At 42.0% G+C, this 24,347-nt stretch overlaps 1 protein-coding gene across 1 annotated transcript in view; it reads right to left on the reverse strand.

Moving 5' to 3' along the window:
- ASIC2 (acid sensing ion channel subunit 2) overlaps window positions 1–24,347 on the reverse strand; it is a 1,143,682-nt gene that overhangs the window by 670,314 nt on the left and 449,021 nt on the right. The window lies entirely within an intron of this gene.

Genomic DNA, 24,347 nt, shown 5'->3' on the forward strand with positions numbered 1-24,347 from the left:
TTGCTCTGTCACCCAGGCTGGAGCACAGTGGTGCAAACATGGCTCACTGCAGCCTTGACCTCCCTGGCTCAAGTGATCCTCCCACCTCAGCCTCCCAAGTAGGTGGGTCTATAGGCACATGCCATCATGCCCAGATAGTTTTTTTTTAAAAATCTTGTAGAGATAGGGTCTTGTTCTGTTGCCTAGGCTGGAGGACAGTGGCATAATCATAGCACACTGTAACCTTGAACTCTTAGGCTCAAATGATCCTCCTGCCTCAGCCTCCCAAGTAGTTGGAAATACAGGTGCATGCCACCAGGGCCAGGTAATTTTTTTGTTTTTTACAGAGACAGGGGTCTTGCTATGTTGCCCAGGCTGGTCTCAAACTCCTGGGCTCAAGCAATCCTCCCACAATGAGATTACCACTGTGCCCCGTCTCCCCTTTTTAGAAGGACACAGTTACATCGGATTAGGAGCCCACCCTTTTCCCGTAGGGCCTCATCTTGACTCTACCAATTACATCTGTAACAACCCTATCTACAAATAAGGTCATGAGGTACTGGGAGCTAGGACACTCCAACGTACGAATTTAGGGGGAGGAATACGATTTAACCCAATAACAGTCAGCTTGATAGAAAATCATTAGAATATCCATACATTTGCATATAGATTTTGCTTTTAGTTCTTTACACAAATCTAGCTAGTTGTTTTTGGTACACTTCTGCTAATAATTCTCCATACTCTTTCTGTTTTTGACTTCTAAGGATCTTCCATAAAAGGCTCTAGGCTAGAACCTGGTCTACAAATTATACACCCTGGCATGTCCAAAAGCAAAATGCTGCCTACATCTCCTGAAAATGCAGGAATGTCAGAAAAGCTGCTGAAGTGGTGGCTACCAGGAGCTCCAGGGGCCTAGCACCCACTCCCAGCCCGACCCTGGGGTGGGGAGGGGGGTGCTCTTCAGAGTGGCTCATTTTAGAGCTGACTACCCAAGTGCAGAAGAAACAACGTTTTAAATATATCGGGCAGCAGAGCAGCTAGATATTAAGGTTCTTCTTTGCAGGACATCATGAAATATTGTTCATGACGACCCTGACCCTGGGTTGGGCGCGGGTGCTCTTCAGAGTGGCTCATTTTAGAGCTGACTTCCCAAGTGCAGAAGAAACAACTTTTTAAATACGTCGGGTAACAGAGCAGCTAGACATTACGGTTCTTCTTTGCAGAACATCATGAAATATTGATGTTAAGCTAAAACGAATATAATAAATGTATGATTGCCTGCTAAATTGGTCATTATCTTTTTTAGATTCTGGCTTTGACAGAAAGTAGCAGGCCCCAATGGTTTAAGAAAGAAAGGAAAAAATTTTTTTAATTGAGGAAATCATATCCACGTCTTTTTTTTTTTAATTGTTGAAAAGATGTCCACAGTCAGATTTCAGAGGAAGAACAAATTGGTCCCAGTCAAGAGCACCGTCTTGTGGGAATACCATTGTGTTCTGTACGGAGCTGGAAAAATACATAACAGCAGGATCCTATTGTGAAACCAGATATTATGCGGAAGTCTAGGCATGAGACAGATGTAAGTGGAGCTGTCATATCGAAGCAGAAATAGCAGCCCTCTGGATTGTCTTCCCCCTCCAGCCTTTATCCCAGCACCATGGCAAGCCCTTGAAGCAAGAAAGTCCTGCTAACTGCATGACTTTGGTCTAGTCCTCACGTTCTGGTTCCCCCTGGGGGGGCTTAGTCTTTCACTGAGAGGAGAGACGTGTACACACGGATGGAGGTCAGATTTCCCCCCTCCCCAACCCTCTCTAAGGCAGCAGGTGCGTTTGTTGCTTTCCAGATAAGTAGAAACCAATCCTTCACCCCTGGAGTGGTCCTGAGTGGGCTCCTGATCTACCATGCCCTGCTCCCACACCCAGCGTGAAGATGAATGGCTTCTCTCCAGGCCACCTCGCGCTCCTCCATCCATCACTGCTGCATGTGTGGCCCTCAACAGCCAGAAGGCTTCTGTCTCCACTTCTTCAATGACTCTCCTGCCTTCCCCAGCCGTGCTCCAGCAGCCCCCTCTAACACCCTGCTCCCACCTGAGCTCCAAATTACCCTGACAGCTAGTCCTTGATAGGGGATGATTGGGGACCATGTTTCCAATCAAGGAGTGACTAGCTGTGAAATCCCAGACTCCAAAGTACTTGCTGTCTCCTGGAAAACAAGGAATGGGCCTAGCCAACCTGATAGGGATTGTTTGAATTCTGAGAGGAAGGAGGCCGGCAGACTTGGTCCTTTTATTTATTTGAAGAGAGTTTGTTGCTCCTTGGTTTTACTGTACCCCTTCTGGTCATTTATTTCTTAGCTGATCCTCTCAAACCTCTAGATGGCAGAGTCCACCAGCCCCATTGGTCAGGTGGGTAGACTAAGGCCTTCAGACAGCACTCAAACAAGATTCTCGGCAGCGTCTGATATGGTGCCCATATCTCTGCTTAGCTATGTCAAAAAAGGACCAGGCAGGAGGTTATGCGGAAGGGCCTGTTCTCAGCTGAGTGGCTGCTGCTCTCAGTCACGGGGGACCGGGACACGGGGGACCAGGGACTCGCTCACACTTTGCTTTGGGAATCGGCCTCCTGCATGAGCGTGGGCCAAGGCTGTTTCCCCACTTGACGACAGTGTTCATCTTGTTCCCACCTCGGAAGTGGGAGGTCGGAATCCTCAGCTCCAGCAGGAGGAAGAGCCTGGGCTGGAGTGGGTTTCTGAGTTCTTAACAGCTGCAGCAGGGAATTCTACAATGGCTGGAGGAGTAGGCAACACTGAAGCCAGGCAGGGGTATGAAGGTGCAAGTACCGGCACAGGTAGCAGAAAGATGGCCAAAGAGCACGCTATTCTTGATAAAATCACACTGTATTGGGGGCTGCAAAAACCTAGGATTCTTCGGATGGAGAACCTATAGGAGGAGTTCCTATGGAGAGCACCCAGGGTACTTTGCGGGTGAGGGTGTAAGGGCTCCCCCTGCTGGGGTGGAGTGGAACACCAACTAATCTCTTGTCCTGTTCAGTATGTAATTCTGTACAAAGTATCTGGCAAAGTCTTGGCCCATAGGGTTTACAGCCCCAGCTGTGCTTAATTTCTCTCTCTCCTTCTCCCCACCTGAAACCCCCTCAGGCTGGTTGAGATCCATGGGCAACTCTGCTGGTCCTCAGTGCTCCTGCAGAAGAGAGAAGAGAGCTCTCTTGGCATTCCTGCAAGCAGCCTCATGTAGGAAGAGCCCAGCTCTGGCCTTGCAGTCAGAATGACTGGCCTGATGCTGGGATCACCTCCCAAACAGCTCCTGGAATTGGCCTTGTCCTGCCCTACTCTCCAGTGTGCATGTGAGAGTTTCTGTCTCTGAATTTCCATCCTGACTTCTGGGAAGCAGGTCTGAGGTCAGCTCCCATCTGTGAATTAGGCTTGGGCAGCCAGAGTCCCAAGCCATCAATTGAATTGGGGGTGAAAATGGGGACAGGACTGGGGTGATACCAGTAGAGTTACATCAGGGAGGGGCAGGGGTTGGGAAAATAAACCTAAATGCAGTCTAGCCAAGAACAGTCTAGCTGAGGCCATGAATGACCAAGGGAACCTATGCGGGCTTTGGGGTTACACAGACCCAGGTTTAAATCTCAGTTTTTCTATTGACTGTGTGTCCTTCGATGAGTGGCTTAGCATCTCTGGGTCTCAGTTTTTTCATGTACAGCAAGGACAAGAGGAATGCTTTCTTCATAGGATTGTGAAAACCGAATGGAATAACACTTAAAACATCTAGAACTGTACGAGGCACATCATAGGTGCCTGATGTGAGTTCTTTCTTCACCTTCCCTACATTCTTCAGTTCATGAACGGAGTGGCGTCAGTACCAGGGAGTTGTAGCAGAGCCCTAGGGAGTTGGAATCTGGAGGGAGAGGATCAGGTGGAAGTTGGGTTACCCCTTAGGAGAGAGGCAAGAAGGAAGATCCAAACAAGAGAAGTAACAGAGGTGGCAAGCTACCATGGGCTGCTACCCAGGGTGATGTTTCTCATGCGTCAGGATAGATTCTTCCAACACTGAGTCCTGCTGTCTCCACCTTATTGCCTAGGAAGGTCCAGCCCCTCTCTTTCCCTGCCACAATGGTTGGAAGTCCCTGGTATTGTGGAAGAGGAGAAGATGGGGGCTCTTAGAGGAACCTCCCCTCCATTCCTATTGTGCCCCAGCCCACGCAGCTCTCATCCCCTTCAATGTGGCTCTGGGTGGCAGGTGCCAAAAGATGAATCCAGACAGTTCATGGGCCATCTCCTCTGCAGCCAGAGAATAAGAGAGGATAATTATTCATTGGATGTAGTTTACGGCATTTAGTTGCAGGTCCTGTGCTGAGGGATGGTCACAGCCCAAGCCTCTCTAATGACCTGGAGAGCAGAGAAAAGGATGCTATTATTCTGTTTATTGAGAATTAAGATAAATCTGGTTAGAGGAGAAGCCATCCGCTATTTGGCTCTTCCCAAAAGCAATTACCTATAATTTTGCTGCTTCAGGAAAGAAAGTCACTAGTATTTGTGGGACCGAAACCATTACATGCAACCTGAGAAGGCCCAGAGGAGATTAATCATAGCATTTTTCTCAGTGCTGCATCAATCTCACTTCCTCTCAATTTGGGCTCAATTTACAGGCTACTCAGTTCCCCACAGATGCAGGGAGAGGGGAATGTGTGTGTTGGGGGTGGCCTGAGGGTTAATTGGAACATTTTGCAAACCACCTTTATCAAAGCAGAGGTAGCCTGCTGGCCTCTTAGTTCAAATGGTTTCATCCTGTCCAGCTGAGAGGTGTGTTGGGTCTGGAGACTTCGTGTTGGTTTTGTGTAGTTGTGTGTGTTTAGATTAAAGATCCTAACTTAATGGGGCAACTGTTCTTTACTGCCCTGTTGCGGCCCACTGGTGTGTTAGGATCAATTGCAAGGTGTGTTACAAGTAAGTTTTTGCTACTACCAGTAAAAGTACTGAAGTTTTTGAATAATTTACCTAAGAAATAGTTTCCGACAGAATGAATGTTAACTTAACAGTATTAGTACACCCACTCACCTGTGATGTACTTAATGGAGCAGGAGGGAACAGGCTGCCATCAAAGCTAACTCCTGGAAATGACCTAGAACCCACAGCCTGTCTCAGCCGTGCTGCATGTTCCAGCAGGGAACAAAGCGACTGTTGTATTATGTAAAATTACTTACCTGATAATAAAATGTTTGTGGATTGGATAAATTTGAACGGATATATTGTTTCCTTCACCCCACCCCCACTAGTGGCAAAAGCTGCTCTGTATGAATCTGAGTACATTTCTGTGACAGTATTCCTCATATGTACAGCATTCTATGTGAATCATCTCCCAAAAATTGCCATGGGGTCATTATCCCCAGTTCTTAACTAGAGAAACTGAGATTCTGGAAGTCCCTCTGAATGGCCCATACTTCCCCAGGTGTCTCTGCAGGAAACAATGTGGACAATCACAGTAGTTGGAAGGACAATGACTGACCTAATGGAGTTCAGGACGCTATGACTGTTGGCACCTGATGTGCACAGCTGCTCCCATCTGCGCAGAGAGAATATAAAGGCAGTGGCGCTGAAACATCTGCTGCTTTCACTCACCATCAAGATGGAACTGACTGTACATGCAAGCAAATTTTGATGAAGAGAGTGATCTCAGAGTGCGAAGATAAGTTGTTTCTCCTTGACACCTAGGAATGCACCTGGCCAAGACCCTCAGTTGAAAGACAATATCAAATAAATGCAAAATCTAAATATCCATGTGCTTGTTTACTTTTCCCCCTTAGATAATGGACTGTAGCCATTGCATATTTATTTATTGGTTTACCTTTTAGTAGAGATGAAGTCTCACTATGCTGCCCAGGATGGTCTCAAACTCCTGGGCTCAAGTGATCCTCCCACCTCGGCCTCCCAAGTACTGGGATTACTGGCACGGGCCACAGCACCCGGACTAGCCTCATGGTATATTTAAAAGCATCCCTAACCTCTACACGCTAGATGCCAGTACACACTAGACACCACCTCCAGTGGTGTCAATCAAAAATGTCTCAGAGACTTAGACTCAGTAATATGTATCCCTCTTTCCTCTATCCTTCAGTCATTCAATCTCCACTTCTACCCCTGCCCTGGAGGCAACCAATCTGTACCAATTTTCTGTGTATCTTTTCTATAGAAATATTAGATTGAGATGATTCCCCCTCACCCCAGACAATATGCCATGTCCAGATCCCTGCAGCCAGTATATATTACCTTATTTGGAAAAAAAAGTGTCTCCACAGATATACTTAAGTTACAGGTTTTGAGATGATATTTCATGATGGATTACCCTGGTGGGCCCTAAGTCCAGTGACCAGTGTCCTCTTCAGTGCCAGAAGAGAAGACACAGACACACAGAGCAGAAGGCCATGTGATAGAATTGGAGTGAGGTGGCCACAAGCCAAGGAAGCTAAGTTGTGCTGACAACCACCAGAAGCTGGAAAGGCAAGGAAGATTTCTACCCTGGAGCCTCCAGAGGGCGTGCAGCCCTGCTGATACCTTGATTTCAGACTCCGGTCTCCAAAACTGAGTCCAGAAACTTTTGTTGTTTCTGTTGCTTTAAGTTTCCCAGTTTGTGGTAACTTGTTATAGCAGCTCTAGGAAACTAACTCTCTCTGCAAATAGAGGTATATATATTTTTTCCACAAACTCACAATGATAAGGCACATTGTTCTGCACCTTGCTTTTTTAACTTAAAATTCTATTATAGAAATCTCTTCATATCAATATAGCTTCATTTATCTATTATTGTGTAAAAAGCCACTCAAAAACATAGTGACTTAAAACAATAACAATTATTTGTTAGCTCATGGTTCTGCAAAGTGGGCAGGACTCAACTAGGCTGGGTCATCTTTGCTCCCTATGGCACCAGTTGAAGCTAGAATTTCCAAGTCTGTTTTTTCACTGACATTTCTCAGCTGATGCCTCAGCTAGGATGGCTAGGACAGTTGGGGGCTTTTGGCATCTTTTGCTCTTCATGTGGTTTCTCCATGTGGATGCATGGGCTTCTTCATAGTATGATGGCTGGGTTGTAAGAAGTGTTCCCAAGAGAGAAAGTTCCAATATGCAAGCTCTTATTAAGCCTCCATTTGCATCTTGCTCTCAATGCCAAAAACTAGTCACATACCCAAGCCCAGAAACAATGCGGGAGGGGACTATACAAGGGTTTAAGTTTTGAGAGGTATGGTTTGTTGGGGGCTGTCAAAGTAAGTCTACCACAAGTAGACTTGCATATTTTCATTTCCCAAAATTTACTTTAGGCATGTAATCTAGACAGTTACTCTTCATTGTTTTTTTTTTTTTTTTTTTTTTTTGAGACGGAGTCTTGCTCTGTCACCCAGACTGGAGTTCAGTGGCGCAATCTTGGCTCACTGCAAGCTCCACCTCCCAGATTCACGCCATTCTCCTGCCTCAGCCTCCCAAGTAGCTGGGACTACAGGCTCCTGCCACCACGCCTGGCTAATTTTTTGTATTTTTAGTAGAGACGGGGTTTCACTGTGTTAGCCAGGATGGTCTCCATCTCCTGACCTCGTGATCTGCCCATCTCGGCCTCCCAAAGTGCTGGGATTACAGGCGTGAAACACCGTGCCCGGCCTAGACAGTTACTTTTCATTCTTAACAGTTAAATAGCATTTCATTATCTGGATGGACTAATTTATTCAGTTCATATACTAATGGATATTTATATTACTTCCAAACTTTTGTTGTTAAAAATGATGCTGCAAAAATATTATTTTATGTATACATCATTTTGCACATCTGTGAGAATATCAGTGTGCTGAATACCTAGCAAAATTGCTGGTTAAAACAGCATGTGCACGTATAATTTTGATGGAAATTGATTGACTAATTGCCCCACATAGAGGTTGTACCAAATTACATTCCTATCAGCAATGCATGAAAGCAACTATTTCCCCCACACTCCAATCATCCTAGGCATCAAACATTTTTTGCTTTGCCAGTGTGATAGGAAAAACATAGTATTTATTTTTGTTTTCATTTCTATTTCTCTTCTGATTGAGATCAATCATGTTTGCACATTTGTAAGAACTATCTATATTTTCTTTCTATGAGCTGTAGTTATTTCCTTTGCCCATTTTTGAGGATTGTTGGTCTTTTTCTTGTTAATTTTAAGGAGCTACTTATACATTAAAGTGATTGTGCCTTTGACCATAATATAAATTGAAGATTTTTTTTTCTGATTTTAAAGCATGACTTTGTTCATGGTGGGGTTTTTGTTCTATGCAGAAATTGGATTCTATGTAACCAAATTACTCTCTTCTCCCATGGCTTCCACATATTGTTGTATTTAGGAAGGTTTTCCACATTAACAGATTATATATGTGTGTGTATTTATGTATATGCATGCATGTGTGTGTGTGTGTCTGTGTATACATCTACAACTACGGGTAACTTAACAACAGGGATACATTCTGAGAAACACATCGTTGGGTGATTTTGTCATTGTGATAACATCATAAAGTGCACTAACATGAACCCAGATGGTATAGCCCACTGCACACCTATGCTATATGGTAAAGCCCATTGCTTCTAGACTACAAACCTGTCCAGCATGTTACTGTACTGTATATTGCAGGCAATTGTAACAAAATCTAGAAATAAAATCTTATTTCTAGAATACACTGTATTCTATACACCATATTCTACACACCATACTCAATACACCATATTCTATAGTTAGGTAAGCAAAACAAGCAATTAATATCAAACCTGCACCCCAAAAAATGTTGGTTTGTATCCTTCCTGTGCTAATCAACCCCTCAGTTCCTATCATTATCCTCTTCACCCTCTTCACAGGAACTACAATCACAGTATTTATCTTGCACTGATTACAAGTCTGGATAGGGCTGGAAGTAAATATACTATACATTATTCCTATCCTATCCTAGTTAAAAAAGCAACTCCCCACTTCACAGAACCCACTACTAAATGATTCTTTATACAAGCAGCTGCATCCATAGTCCTAACAGTAGCTATGATTATTAACATAAGGTACTCTGGACAATAAACAGTTATAAAAGTCTTGAACCAAACAGTATACACAAATAAAGTTTGTGTATCTAAAGCTATCTAAACATAGAAAATGTACCGTGAAAATACAGTATAAAAGATTTTTTAAACCAGTACACCTGTATAGGGTACTTACCATGAATCGGAGCTTGCAGGACCAGAAGTTGCTCTGGGTGAGCCACTGAGTGAGTGGTGAGTGACTATGAAGGCCTAGGGAATTACTGTATGCCCTAATGTATGACTGGCAGTGCAGTACGTTTATTTACACCAGCATCACTACAAACACATGAATAATGTGTTGCACTATGATGGTACAACAGCTATGACACCACTAGGCAATAGAAAATTTTCAGCTCCATTATAATCTGATGGGCCATCCTCATATATTGTCCATTGTTGACCTAAATATCATTATGAGATGCCTAATTGTGTATGTATGTATATGTAAATCAATCGCATATTTTAAATCTTTATGTATTTGTTTTTGCATTAAGTTCTTTAATTTGTCTGAAATTCTTTTTGGTGTAGGTTATGAGGTTATTATTTTCTGGAGGCTCAGTTGCCTCAATGTTTATCACATAATCCACTGTTTATCCACTAATTTTAACTGGTATCTTTTTCGTATACTAAATTCTCTCATGTATTTGGTTTGATTTGTAGGCTTGCTATTCTGTCCCAATGATCTATCTGTCTATTAATATCCAGTAACATATCTTTTAAAAATATCCTAACATTATATATTCTAAAGTTCAGCTCATCTTGTTTTGTTTCAAAAACAATCTGTTGTTAATTTTATTTAGTACTGCATTAAATTTGTAGATGAACTTAGGGAGAATCCTCTTGATTTTTGAATTTTCTTTTTGGCCCAGTCTTTTCCTTGGCCTGAGCTTGATTACTCAAATTAATCTGTCAGGTCTAGGCCTGTTGATGTCACACCTCTGATAGGAACATCCTGGGGCAAATTGGCCTGGAGCTGTCTGGGTGCAGCAGGCTAAACTAGAGCTCAGGTGCCTTAGGGACTGGATGGAGGCAGATGAAATTGATACTAGGTATGTAGTCAGGGGACAAAGCAGGATCATCTCAAGGGTACCAGAAGGATCTGGGTAGACTATTCTGCGGACCAGGTCTGAGGAGCTCAAAGGAATGTTGAGAACCAGGAGAATAAAGAGAAGAGGGGTGTCAAAGGAAAGGAAGCGAACAGACTGTATGTCTCCCTATTGCAGCTCACTTAGAATCTGGGGCGTACTTTGAGGGGCTATAAAGAGCCATGGAAGACTTGGTATAGGTCAAGGTCAAGGTGAATTCTCTCTAGGTGAAAGGGCTGTGAGTACACATGCCTGGTGGAGAGTTTGTTTTGAGAGATAGAACAGTGATAGGAGAGGGCTCTAGAATAGATGTCAGATCATTTGGATTCTTTTAGTTCTAGTGTCACGACCAATTTGTTGGAGGATGGTGGGATCAATCATGTTTGCACGTTTTTAAGAACCATCTGTATTTTCTTCCTATGGACTGTGTTTATTTCCTTTGACCATGCTACTTGCCCACATTACTTGCTTGCTCATCTATAAAATCAGGTGGAGGTGGAGTAGCTCTAAGATTTTTTCCCAATGCAGTGTTTCATGGCTCTGTGATTACTTTCCAGAGTGTGAGAAAGATTCATGGCCTCAGGCTATGGGTAATATTCCCGAGTCATCTGAAGTCCCAGCCAAGGCCATGGGGTTTAAAACGTTTAAAACTTCAACCTGGTGTTGGCACATTTACAGAGTCTGGGAAACTTGAGTTCTTCATATGAAAATGCGTTCCATCCAATGGCTCCTCCACCGTCAACAGAATAAAGCCCTGATGTCTTACCCTGGGACGGGAGCACCGTCATGATCTAGCCTAGCATTCTTTTTCAGCTGCACCACCCATCCTCCCTTTCAGGAATTCTGTGTTCCAGTCAGGCTGAACTTCTTGTGATTTCCCACAAGTGTTAATACTTTCTTGCCTCAGTGTTTTTATTCATGTTGTTTCCACTACCTGAGCTACTCTTCCTCATCTCATAGCCAAATCCAAGCCACAGTTAAGTGCCAACCTCAGATTTTACCTCTTCTCTGATGCTCCCTGTTCTAGTTGAGATCTGGGGGTTATAAGTGGAAGAGACCCAGTCAAGCTAACTCAAGCAAAAGGAAGTGTATCACAAAGCTCCAATGGATAATGTCATATACAGCCAGAGAGAGAACAGGGGGTGAGATACATGTGGAGTGAAGGAGGACTCTAACTGGGACCTGGGGATGCTGTAATGGATGCTACTGTCTCCATCTCTCAGGGTGAGTGGGATTCCCTTCATCTCCAGTTACCTCTGTTTTTCCTCCATGCAGCTTTTCCTCCAAGCTTGTCCTCCGTGTCTTCTCTTCTCCTGTCCTCTTGTTCCCCGTCTCACTCAGCAAATAGAATGGCTGCCCCACGCTGCCTACATGATTTCCTCAGCACCTACTACTGACGGATGTGTCACTTTGTTTAAATTCTTAACAGAAGGAATATGGTTGGTAAGTAATTTTTAAAGGTAGCTATTAACCTAAGAAAACAGAAATTGTATGGGAAAGAAAATATATCACAAAAAAAGTTTTTTGTTTAGTAGCAAACAGTATTTATAAAGCTATTATAATTTAAACACTGACTTGGTTTAATAAAAAATTGAAATCAAATGATATTGGGAGAATAGGAGAGGAGGCAGGGAGTTGGTAGATATCAATTAAATACTCTTCTCTCACAACAGCAAGTTCATGTCTAACTCTGAAAATCCAGGAAGAGTAACATAAACAAATCATTTAAAAATATGGTGGTACATCCAGAGGCAGCTAGAAAAGTTGAAAGAGGCCACTGCTATGGGGTTGTGGGGCTGGGGAGTGGCAGTAAATGTGCAGGGGATTGATGTATTTATTATAGGGCTTTCTGTAGTTTTTTTAAAAAATTAAAAAATACATATGCATGCATTACTTTTAAAATTGCTCTTTTAAAAATTATGAAAAAATGTAAAGAATTTAACTTTTATAAAAAAGCTTTAGTTCTTAATGAGATGCACTTTCAGAAATCTGGCAAGCTGAACTATACAGAAGGTCCCATTTCCTGGGGCTTCCCAAGAGTGCTGCTTTCACTGGACAATTAAGCAGATGAAAAGTTTTGTTTGTTTTTGTATCAGACAGATTTTACTTACACATAGGCACACACACATGCACACAACATAACCTCACAGATAAAGACATATGTCCTCCATTCCAGTCCCTTAAACTCCATCCCCCAAGCAATTAGGAACATAAATTTAATGTCATTCTTCCTAGTCCACAGTTTTTAATATTTTTACTATAATACATACACACATATGACACATCTATACACATATCTGTTAAAAAATACTAATTTACTTATTATGTTTTGAAATTTTCATTTAAATGTTATCATAATGTACGTATTATTCTGGTACTTGCTTTACTCATTTAATATGTTGAGACCTATCTATATTCACATATGGATCTAGTGCATTCATTTTATTTCATCGTATGAGTACAGCAGAATTTATTTTGCCTGCCAACCTTTTTACTCTTACAATCAGTGTGGCAGTGAATATCCTTATACAAACCTCATGCCAACACATACAAGAATGTCTTCTGCATGTATGCCTAGACACGGAATTGCTGGGTTACAAGGAGGCACATTTTCCTTTTACTAGGTCACTGGGTCAGCATCGTTTTTAAACACAACTAAATAGCGCTGTTGTCAGATTCTGGCTCCTGGGTGACAGGCTTGTACAGACTGACCCAGCTGGGGGTGGAGGCCGTATCTGAAATACCATCTGTGTCGCTGTCACAACAGTGCTGGAGGCTCTCTTTTCAGAGGCAGCAGTTTAGGACCGGAGCAAAGAGACACATTTATTCATGTTCTTTCTAACAAGCTGGTGTTTGACACTTAAAGGGCTGATAAGGTTCTTTTCTTTTTTACATATATGAGGGGAAAGCACTAGGTAACATACAACAAAGAAGACCGAGGGAGGATGAGCAAAGTAGAGTTATAGAACACATGACATGAACGAAGAAGGCCCCCATGGGTGGGAGGTGGGTCTATACATTTTTCCGTTCGTTCATTATCAGTACAGTTGACTCTTGAACAATGCAGAGTTGGGGTGCCAACCTCCATGTAGTTGAAAATCCATGTCCCCCAAATTTAACTAACAGCCTACTGCTGGCCAGAAGCCAAACTGATAACACACAGAGTCATTGAATATGTATTTTTTATGTTACATGTATTGTATACTGTATTCTTACAATAAAGTAAGCTAGAGGAGAAAAATCTTATTAAGCAAATCCTAAGGAAGAGAAAATATATTTACCATTCATTAAGTGGAAGTGGATTGATATAATTTGGATGTGTGTCCCTTCCCAAATCTCATATTGAAATGTAATCCCTAATATTGGACGTGGGGCCTGGCAGGAGGTGATTGGATCATGAGGACAGATTCACATGAATGGTTTTGCACCATTCCTCTTGATACTGTCCTCACAATAGTGAGTTCTCCTGAGATCTGGTCATTTAAAAGTGTGTGGTTCCTCCCTCCCTCCCTACTCCTACTCCTGCTCTGGCCATGTGATGTACCTGCACCCCCTTTGCCTTCCACCATTATTGTATGTTTCCTGAGGCCTCCCCAGATGCTGAGCAGATGCCAGCATCACACTTCCTGTACAGCCTGCAGAATGATAAACGAATTAAACCTCTTTTCTCTATAAATTACCCAGTCTCAGGTATCTCTTTATAGCAATGTGAGAACAGACTAATACATGGATCATCATAAAGATCTTCAGCTCATCATCTTCACTTTGAGTAGGCTAAGGAGGAGGAGGAAGCAGGTTGGTCTTGCTGTCTCAGGGTTGACAGAGGCAGGAGAAAATCCACATAGAAGTTGACTCTTGCAGTTCAAACTCATGTTGTTCAAGGGTCACCTGTATTTGTGAAGAATGTGTCAGACTTGGAACTAGACTCTGGGGCAGAAAGTACCATAAGAAAGGGACGGTTCCCTTTTGACTGATATGGTTGATGAGATTTGGAAAGCCTACTTCATTCACATTCCTTTCCAAAGAAACAGCCCCTGGCCATAGGCTACCACCTTTCTCCCAACCATGGCAGTAACTGCCCTCATTTCTCACTCTTGAAAACTGAGTCAGCTGTTTAGACCAGAGAGAGTCCCTTGACTAAGGACTGCTGCTCTTAAAGCCACCCAATGACCTATGATTCACACACCACATCAAGAAGATGAGTGGCACCAACTATATGTATATAGTGATATATCTTCATATGATATAGCAATACCATGAAAAGAACTCTGACTGTCAGTGACAAGAGACTGGGGCCCAGAGTGTATTAATAAACTGAGGAGAACTTTTGCAGTGAGTGTCTTGAAAGGGCTTGATTATTTTGGTTGTACTGCACGTTGTAGATAGATGCACATAGTAGGTGTTCAATTAAGATTTGTTGATTAAGACCGGTTGAGTAGTGTTCAATGCTTATTTAGATGTGATGTTGGAAAGTGAATTTTATTAATTACAAAATTAGAACTACTTTATATTCACATAATTCTTTGTTTTCAGAGGGATTTTATATACATTGTTCATTTTAATTTTCACGAGGAGTTATAATACCAGCATGCTATTTAGATATAGTTATTATTATATAGGTGGTTTTCATTAGGAATGAATCCCTATAGTGTAGCGGTTAAGTGTGGATACAATTGCCAATCTTGCTTTCCATCCCAGTTCTACTTCATATGGGGTTTACGCATCTCGGTACTTAAGATTCTTCATCTGCACAATGGGGAGAAAAGCAGCATCTACTTCATCGTGTTGTCATGAACTGAATTCATGAATTCATGTGTGTGAAATGCTTAGAACAGTGTCTGGCACATAGGAAGTTTTCAAACGTTATTATTAGCTGTCATTTTTTTTGTTGTTGACCAAGGTGGAAGCTGAGATTCAAGAGGATCAGTTTCATCCCAGGCCACCCTGCCAGTAAGTGACCCCATGAAAATTAGAAAGCTATCAGTAAAAGCAAAGGAGAGAAAGTGTGAGACATAAGTTTTGGTTCCCACTGCAAAACATCACTGGTAACTAAATTGGGGTGAATAAGTACTTGCCAGCCTGCCACATGGGGTGTTGATGAGGTTTCAACAAACTGATGGATGTGCAAAGTCTTTGAAAACTGAAGTACAATGGTGTGGCTGCATTGTTCTGCTGGGGAGGAAAGGGCACGAGGCTGCGGTATGGTGAGGCTGAATGGGGTCTATGGCTTGGGAGAAAGAAAGGAAAGATGGAGACCCGCAGCTCATTTCCTGGGAGCATGGATAGGCAACAGTTTGGATTCATTACAGAGCCCCCAAGCAGGTGGTGAGAAAACGCAGATGCCCCCCCTCTGCTTTTTGAGCATCTCATGTTATTCAACATTGTCCATATATTTGTGCAAAATGCTGTCTCCTCATTGGGAGACTTCACCGGCTCCCTGTGCTACTGGCAGGAGAATAGGAGTTTCCTAAAGGGGTCTGTTCAGAAATGAAACTCATAAATGTATTCCTGGTAGAGAAGGAACAACTGGTTTCTTAGCCAACTGAGTTTTCCTGAAATCACCTCCAAGGACAAGCTCTGAGCCTGTAACACTGGTTCTCTCCTCACAAGGACTCCATGAGTCATGTGGAGAAGACATGTTTAATTCTGTCCAGCAGGTGAACAAATGGGCCAAGAGAAGAGAATTGATGCACCCAGAATCACGTGGCCCATCCTTAGCGTGGAGCTTCTGGCTCCTGCTGACACTGCTCCCAGCCACACATGGGGTGCCTGCTGAACAGAGCCCCTCATGTCTCCTTCCCCACTACTAACTGTCACGGGATGCCAGTCTGAGGCACCAAAGTCGGAGGAACAACCACAGTCCAGGACGACTTTGGGAATCCATTAGTGTGGGATTTGATGCATTTCCTAGGAAAGCAAACAATCTCTGCATGACTTTCGCAGCCACATGTCCATAGAATAGCAACATAATATTTATAATCTCTTATCTGTTCCTTTTCTACCTTTCTCCTTGTGGACAATGGTTACAGCTCATCTACATGTCTCCCTCTCTCCCAAATTCAGCAGCAGAGACATCACAGATTTCTGGTTGGGAAACCATGGTCTACACCACAGATACAGTACCCTCAACAAGGCTGTAAAGAAGGGGGTTGTTGGTTAAGAACATGGGCTTAGTGGCAAGACAGAATTAGGTGTGAATACAATTTTGTTATTTCTTAGCATACATTTATTGTTTCCAAATTTCAGTGTTCTTCTCTGTAAAACAGAGATAATAATAGTGCCCATGTCATGAACTTACAGCATGAGAGGAGTACATATAAACTGACTACAGGACTTTCGTTTTTAGCAAGTTAGCCAATTACATAGACTTCTGGATAAAGTATCGTAAATATATTTTTAATAGTGTATCTATGCTTAATGGAAAAAAAAACCCTGAAAACCAGAAGGTTAAGAAAGACCTAATATTTTGGCTACCCTGAGACAAGGATGCATTTTCTCAACTAGCTTGAATTTTTAGCAGCCACTTGGATATAGAATATGAGTCCTTAAGCTCACATTAGGCAAAGAATTGGAACTGAGATCCCAGACTAAGCTGGGATCCTCAAAGGGTTGGAACCCTTGGTAAATGGTTAGAATAGAAATAAATCTTCCTGCCGACTCAGGGAAATAGCAAGAAACTTTGCTTTCCTCTGGACTCTGGGGAGGTGAAAAAAAAAAGTTTTCTGTTGATAGTTTGTAACCATGACCTTGACCTCTCTTGGATTTGGTATTTACCTTTATTATATCTGTTCAGGAAATTAACACAAAGAGATCCCTAGCTGGAATACCCCTAGAGCTTCCAGCAAAGCAAAATCAAATTCTGTCCTGCCAAATACAAGCTCCATTACAAAATACATGAAGAAGCAAGACACTGTAATTGAGGCAGCAGACAGCATCCATGGAAAGACAAGAGCCCCCAGTGCTTCAGAGAACAGAATTATCAGAATGGAGAAATAAGTTCCATTTGAAACAAGTAAAGACAGATGCGAAAAGGGTAAGATACTACTAATAAAGCATTCACAGGGAAGCTGGCACGTAGTAAGCAAGTAATAGATGTTAGCTATTATTCATATTAGTGTTAGGGTTCTGTTTTCATGGAGGAAGGGAAAACAAATCTGAAATTCAATCCATGCGTTGATCACTAGTTCCCTTCAGACACAGCGCTTTGCAGGCTGAGGAGCATATGACCAGAACCGGAGAGATGGGAGGGTCCATGGATGAAGGTCTGGAGGTAAAGTCTCCTTGGTCCCATCCTGACTACTCCCCAAATGACCATGAGAAAATCCATCGCTTTTGCAAGAATCACAAATCTGACCTCCTAAAGCTGAAGTACAGAGTAGAATTGGGGGAGCATTCTAAGGCTTGCTGTAAAATTAATCACCACACAATAATAATTTTAAAAAGCCGTTGCCAGAGGGAGAAAGGCATAAAGTCACTGAGGTCACAGTATCAAGCTATCATTTTGATGTACAGTTCCCAAAGAGATCAGTCTACTCTGACTTAGAACACATTATTTTTGATAAAATTGCAACCTGTCAGGGATAGCAAAGAACCCGGATTCTTCAGATTAAAAACCTAGGATGCAGATGGACAGCCTAGGGTACTCTGAGAAGTATGTTGTGTGTGGTGGGCGGAGGGGGCATATGAGGACTGTCCTTGCTGGAGTGGAATGGAATACCGACCAATCTCTTGTTCGTCTGTTCAATATTTAATTCTGCACAAAGTATATGATTGGCCAAGCCTTGGATCATATCATTTACAGCCATACCGGACTACAATCAGTAAATAAATAGCTTGCTGAAAATCAATAAATAAGGAAATAATTGTCTTCTATAGGATTCAAAATGAAGAAAGACCATCATTTTTGTTATAGTTCTCAGCCCAATTCACTCTTACACAAGGGACAGGAAGTAGGTCTGAGTCTATCTCCAGCAATAGGCTGAATTCCAAAGGGTGTTGGTCCCAGGGTCTGTCCTGGTTTGAAATGAGTTCAAGGTAGGGTTTGAGCACCTTGACACAGTACAGACTCCCTCCAAGTCAGGGTCAGCCATTGGCATTCTATGCTGAGACAGCCTTTGCAGTGCTACCTTGGATAATTCATTCTTACCCACTTGATCATTAGAGATCAAGTCATGAGGTATTTGCAAGTCACTTAATCGGCCAGAAAGCCTTCGGATTAAGATGGCAATCAGGCTTCTCCCATCAATGTCTTTTTGCAAAGAATAGTCCAGCCTGCCTCTGCACATCAGTCTGTATTAGTCTAAGGATCATTCTAAGATGTATGTATTTCATTGTCGGTACTTCTGATCCGATGGACAATTTGTCTAAGTGAGTTCTGCAGACATAGAAGTTCTGCAGACATAGAAGCTGGTGGCGTTGAGCTCGGCTGTGCCAGCTGGGTGGGGAAGGTCTCACTTTGGCATGGTGGATAACAGGGCTCATTCTGGAAGGTGGTAACTTCTTCCTTTCATTCCTCTTCAATGTGACGTCACAGACAATGTCCTGGTTTAGGGATCAGGATGATGTGAGTTTGTGTCTTGGCTTTGAAGCATACTCGCTTTGGTACTTACCTCAGTTCCTTCATCTGTAAAATGGTGATACCTCTCCCAATTGTTGTAAGGATCAAGTAACTTAGCACAATGCTAGGCATATAGTAGGTACTCAGTCGTAGTTAGTTTCTTTCTCCTTCCTGGGGTTAGAGGGGGGGTATCACTGATTGAACCAAGAAACATACCTAGAGATAAGGTTTTAAGGCAGGAGGAGGCTTCCTGTGGAGGAAGAAAGGATGAAAACGTGAAATCTCTTAATCCTCAGCTAGGATAGTTCACTACAACTTGAAATCTGGGCAACCCAATTCTCTCTGAGTTTCCATCAAGGGAGCAGAGCCAGCGTCACACCTTTAACTTCTATGACAGCCAACACACACCATTACACTTTAACTTGTGTCCAAAAGGAAAAAAGGCCTTGCCCCGAGGGAGGAATTAGGGAGATCCCTATGAGCAAGGTGACCTACACAATGACAGCCCAGGGACATCAAAAATCCAGCAGGGTTGCGAACTGGGGAGTTGGGACACAGAACAAATGTCTTGATAACTGCAATCTACTTCTTATAAATATCACAATAATCGCATTTGTTCAACTACTCAATCAATGAGGTTAGCTATATAAGTGTCATATGTTGCCTCCCCTGGAAGTGAATCTAGGAGATTTAATGATTCATTCACTCAACAAATATTTATTGAGCATCCTCTGTATGCCAGGCGATGTACCAGGAACTAGGGGCATTAGGTTCCTGCTTTCATGAAGCAGAGAGACTAAACAAACAATATCAGATAGTGCTAAGTTCCATGGAGAAAATAAACAGAGTTACGGATTGTGCCCAGGGTAAGGGAAGAGTTCATTTTAATAGTGGCCTGGAAAGGCCACTGGGATGGTTACTTTAAGAGGGGATATGAAGAGTACAAAGGAGGCAAGCATGAAAAAAATCTGGAGAAAAATATTCCAGGCAGATGGGATAGCAAGTGCAAAGTTCCTTTGGTTTGTTTGAAGAATGGAAAGAACCTCAGGATACATGGACGCCTAGAACAGAGTGAGCAAGGGGGCAAATGCTGAGTTGAGGCTGGAGAGATGGGAGCTATAGTTTGTATCATGGCCAAATATTTGGATTTTAATTAATTAAAATAGAGACTCTTTGGTAGTTTGGTTTCTTTTTCTTTTTTTTTTTGTTGCTGTTGTTGTTGTTGTTGTTGTTGTTGTTGAGACAAGGTCTGGCTCTGTCACCCAGGACGGAGTGCAGTGCAGTGGCATGATCTCTGCTTACTGCAACCTCTGCCTCCTGGGCTCAAGTGATCCTCCCACCTCAGCTTTCCGAATAGCTGGGACTACAGGCACAAGCCACCATGCCCGACTAATTTCTGTAGTTTTTGTAGAGATGGGGTTTTACCATGTTGCCCAGGCTGCTCTCAAACTCCTGAGCTCAAGCAATCCACCCACTTTGGCCTCCCAAAGTACTGGGATTACAGGTGTCAGCCACCGTGCCCAGCATATGTTATATAATACTAATATATAATCTCTTTGGTAGGTTTTAAGCAGGGGAAGGTACATTCAGGGGAGAGAACCTGGGGCCTTTAGCCTGTCCATGCCCTCAATTCTGTAAGCTCCCCTGTTCTGCTCCCAGACTCAGCATGCCTCTAGGTGTACATGATTGTTAGACTGCCCTCCTGTCCTCCCCCTTAGCTAGGTGGGCCAGGCCAGAGCTCCTAAGCTCTGACCTTTAGCCCTCAACTCCATCTGTCCTTCTGGCCTCAGGCTTTGGCTTTCACAATCCTATGCATCATTCAGACCTAGGTTTTAGTACCTCCAACTTTCCCACTCGCTTTTCTATTTTTATTCTGAGCTCAGGTCACTGTTCTCTCCCTACTTCCTGAACTTTGCCTGTGCCTGGACTCCTTAAATCATAGAGAAACTGAGGCAGGATAGGTAGTCAAGAAAGTGACCATGTTCTTGGGACCCAGCAACCACGGTGACCATACAGTCAACACAATAAGCCTCAGCATTAGCATTGTAATTGGACTTTCTCCTGAAGAGAGCATGCACGTTTTGATTTTACCTGTCCTCAAACTGATGCTTTGCTCGTTATCATGTAAAAAACACAACCCTGGGTGGAGATTCAAGATGCTAATGAGATATTGGTATAGGAACAAGCATGTATAGCTACTGCACGTGTGCACTCAGAGAGCCATCCAGAATATGCTTACCTGTAGGCACCTCTTTCCACCTCCTTATGAATAATCATGCATGACTCCTGTAAAGGGAGTCTCCCTAGTGCCAGTCTTTGCTGTCTCATCCTTGCCAGTAGCCCACCCTGAATTCTGTCTCTCTCAAGGTGTACTGTCTAGTCTGCACCTAACTTATAAAATATATTTTTTCTTTTGCAATAAATTACTCTATGTCGCACTTCTTTTGCTGTGTGTCTCTTATTTAAATTCTTTTAAACTAACAGGATAAGAACCAAGGTATCACAACAGCTGTCAACAAAACAAGGGGCAGAAGTTCATGGACCAAAGACTAGGATCAGGAGTCACATTCTGCCTCTGCTGCCTTGGGGATCATTACTTCACCCCTGTGGTCCTCTCTGGAGCTTCTAAACTGTACTGTGTTGGGATTGGATGTAATGGTCATTAAGGTCCTTTTCAACTTGGATGCTCTAACCTGGGGTTCAGCCAATTCAAGAAAAATAGGAAAAAACTAACAGGTACGAAGTAGATATACTATATATTTGAGAGAAAATGACTCCCTATATTGGGTTTAAAAGCACTCTTTGGTTTTGAAACCCCACAAAACCTCTCTCCAGCCCCTGAGCTCTTGGCTTCCTGTAGGCGTATGTTTGTAACACACATATGTCTTCCAGGGAACAACATGAATGTCAGTGTCATTTAACTGGAGACTTGCCTGGTGTTTGTATTTGAAATGAAAGTCTTGGAACTAGTTAGCCTCAAATGTAGATTAGCCAAAGCATGAAATTTTTCTTCCTGCCTCTTTTTTCTCACAAATTAGCATTTTACATGAGTAATGTATGTTCATTATTCAAGAACACTATGGAGTTAGATAATATAGAATTGAAAGTCTCCCAGAATTTTCTATTGATTACCACAGTAAAAAATTGGTACATATTCTTTCCTTTAATTAATCAACTAACTAATTTATCGTATGTAAATGTACTAAACATTTTTTTAAATGTTTGTGGTTGGCTTAGCAGTAGCCCCCAAAGATATATCCACATCTCAATCTCAAGGTAAGAATGTTACCTTATTTGGAAAAAGAATCTTTGCATATGTGACAAAATTAAGAATTTTAAGTTGAAGAGATGATTCTGAATTATTCAGGTGGGCCCTAAATGTAATCACACATATCATTATAAGAGGAAGGCAGACAGAGATTTTAACAGAGAGAAGGCCATACGATGATGGAGTGGAGAGAAATTTGAAGATGCTGGCCTTGAAGATTAGAATGATGTGGTCACAAGCCCAGGAATGCCAGCAGCTACCAGAGGCTGGAAAAGGCAAGAAATGGGTTCTCCCTTAGAACCTCTATGGGGAGAACAGCCCTGCCAACACCTTGGTTTTGGCTCATTGAAATCTATTTCTGACTGACTTCCAGAACTGTAGAATAAATTTCTGTTGTTTTAAGCCACGAAGTCTGTGGTAATTGGTCATAGCAGCCACAGAAAACTGGTACGATGTTCAAGGCCTAAAATGGAAAACTGCAGTCCACTTCACTCATTTTCAAGCCCCTAGTTTTGTTTCCCAGAGGCAAATATTTTAAATCTTGGAGCAGTTACTTCTGGAAATTTTCTTGATATTTCCTGTTGAAGTGCATGTATACGTTATATGTGTGCCCACTGACTTTGTATTTTTGTTTTAAAAATGTTTAGAAACTCTTATACCTCCTAAACATATACATATATATGCACATGTATGCATATATACACCCTTCTCTTCATCACACTCTCAACTTCCAAGATAATTATAATACAACTTTTGGTTGAATCTGTAGTCATATGTGTGTGTGTGTGTATGACTATACATATATGATTCATATATATATATATATATATATATATGTATATTTTTGAGACAGGATCTGGCTCTGTCGCTTAGGCTGGAGTACAGTGGCACATTCTCAGCTCACATTCTTCACCTCCCAGGCTCAAGCCATCCTCCCACCTCAGCCTCCCCAGTAGCTGGGACTGCAGGTATGTGCCACCATGAATGGCTAATTTTTTTTTTTTAATTTTGTAGAGACAAGGTTTCACGACGTTTTCCAGGCTGGTCTCAAATTCCTGAGCTCAAGCAATCCACCCACCTTCACCTCCCAAAGTGCTGGGATTACAAGTATCAGCCACCGTGCCCAGCCTGTAGTCATATTTTTGTGTCATTTATTACAATGATATAAATTGTACCATAGCAGTTCTGTGTGGTGTACTATGTTTATATTTTCTTTCTTGAACAACCTTTTGTTTTTTCTGGAGTTAGTAATTGCCTCAAGTTTTTCTTTGCCCACTCCCTTTATGTGCATATCACCATAATTCCATCCTCAAACTCTCTGCCAGAAATAGAAAATCTCTCTCAATATATTCAAGCACATGAAATAATCTGTGATTTTCATTCTGCCCCCACCTGGGAAACATCTTTCCTAGATCTCCTCATCTTCTTGGTTCAATAAGAAGTGGTTGCTTTTTAGTATTTGTAACTGTGCTGTCATTCTGAAATCCTAACTGTTGGAGTGTCAGCTTTGCATATCTTCTGTCTCTCTTTCTTCGTTGTGCCTCATTAAAATGAAGATTCAAAATTCAAGTAGCTTCTGAAGAAAGGGTGAATGCTGTGAAAATTCTTTGATTTATTGCATATCTTTATCTTGACTATGCATAGAAATCTAGGAAACTGATTTTACCTCAGAGTTTTGAAGACATTTTCTTACTGTCTCCTAGCTTCTGATAGTGCTATTGATAATTTTAATGCTTTTGTTATTTCTGATCTCATGTATGTGATCTTCCTCTGAGAGTTTTTGGGATTTTAATTTTACCCCATTACTCTGATATTTTATAATATTTTATTCATTGTGCTGGGCATAAAGTAAGCTTTTAAAATCTGAAAACCTATAACCTTTAATTATGGCAAATTTTCTCATTCTAGCTCTTGTATAATTTTCTCAATTCTAATTTCTTCATTTCCTGGAACTTTCCTCAGTTACATTTTGAACCTTCTGACTAATTTTTTAACACACTTATCTTTTCCTTACTCTTTTCCATTACTTTGTCTTTTTATTCTACTATCTAGATTTCTTTTCAAATACATATACAGATAAATTTGTCCATTCTATCAAACTTTGTATTTTGGCTTTCATAATTTTAATCTCTAGGAGAAATTTTATTTGTTATTTTTGAAGCTCCTTTTAAAAATCATGTAATTCTTGTTTCATGGATTCGATATTTTTTACCTCTGTGAGAATGTAAATTGGAGAGTTTCCCCGCATAGTTTTCCCTTCTCTGAGTTCTGCATCGTATTTATTTTCTCTAGGCTCCTTTACTCTGTTTATCTGCCTTTCAGTTAGAGGTGTTACTCAACTGTTTTAATATCT

This window comes from Homo sapiens, chromosome 17 (genome assembly GCF_000001405.40).
Source record: "Homo sapiens chromosome 17, GRCh38.p14 Primary Assembly".
Classification (NCBI taxonomy): domain Eukaryota; kingdom Metazoa; phylum Chordata; class Mammalia; order Primates; family Hominidae; genus Homo; species Homo sapiens.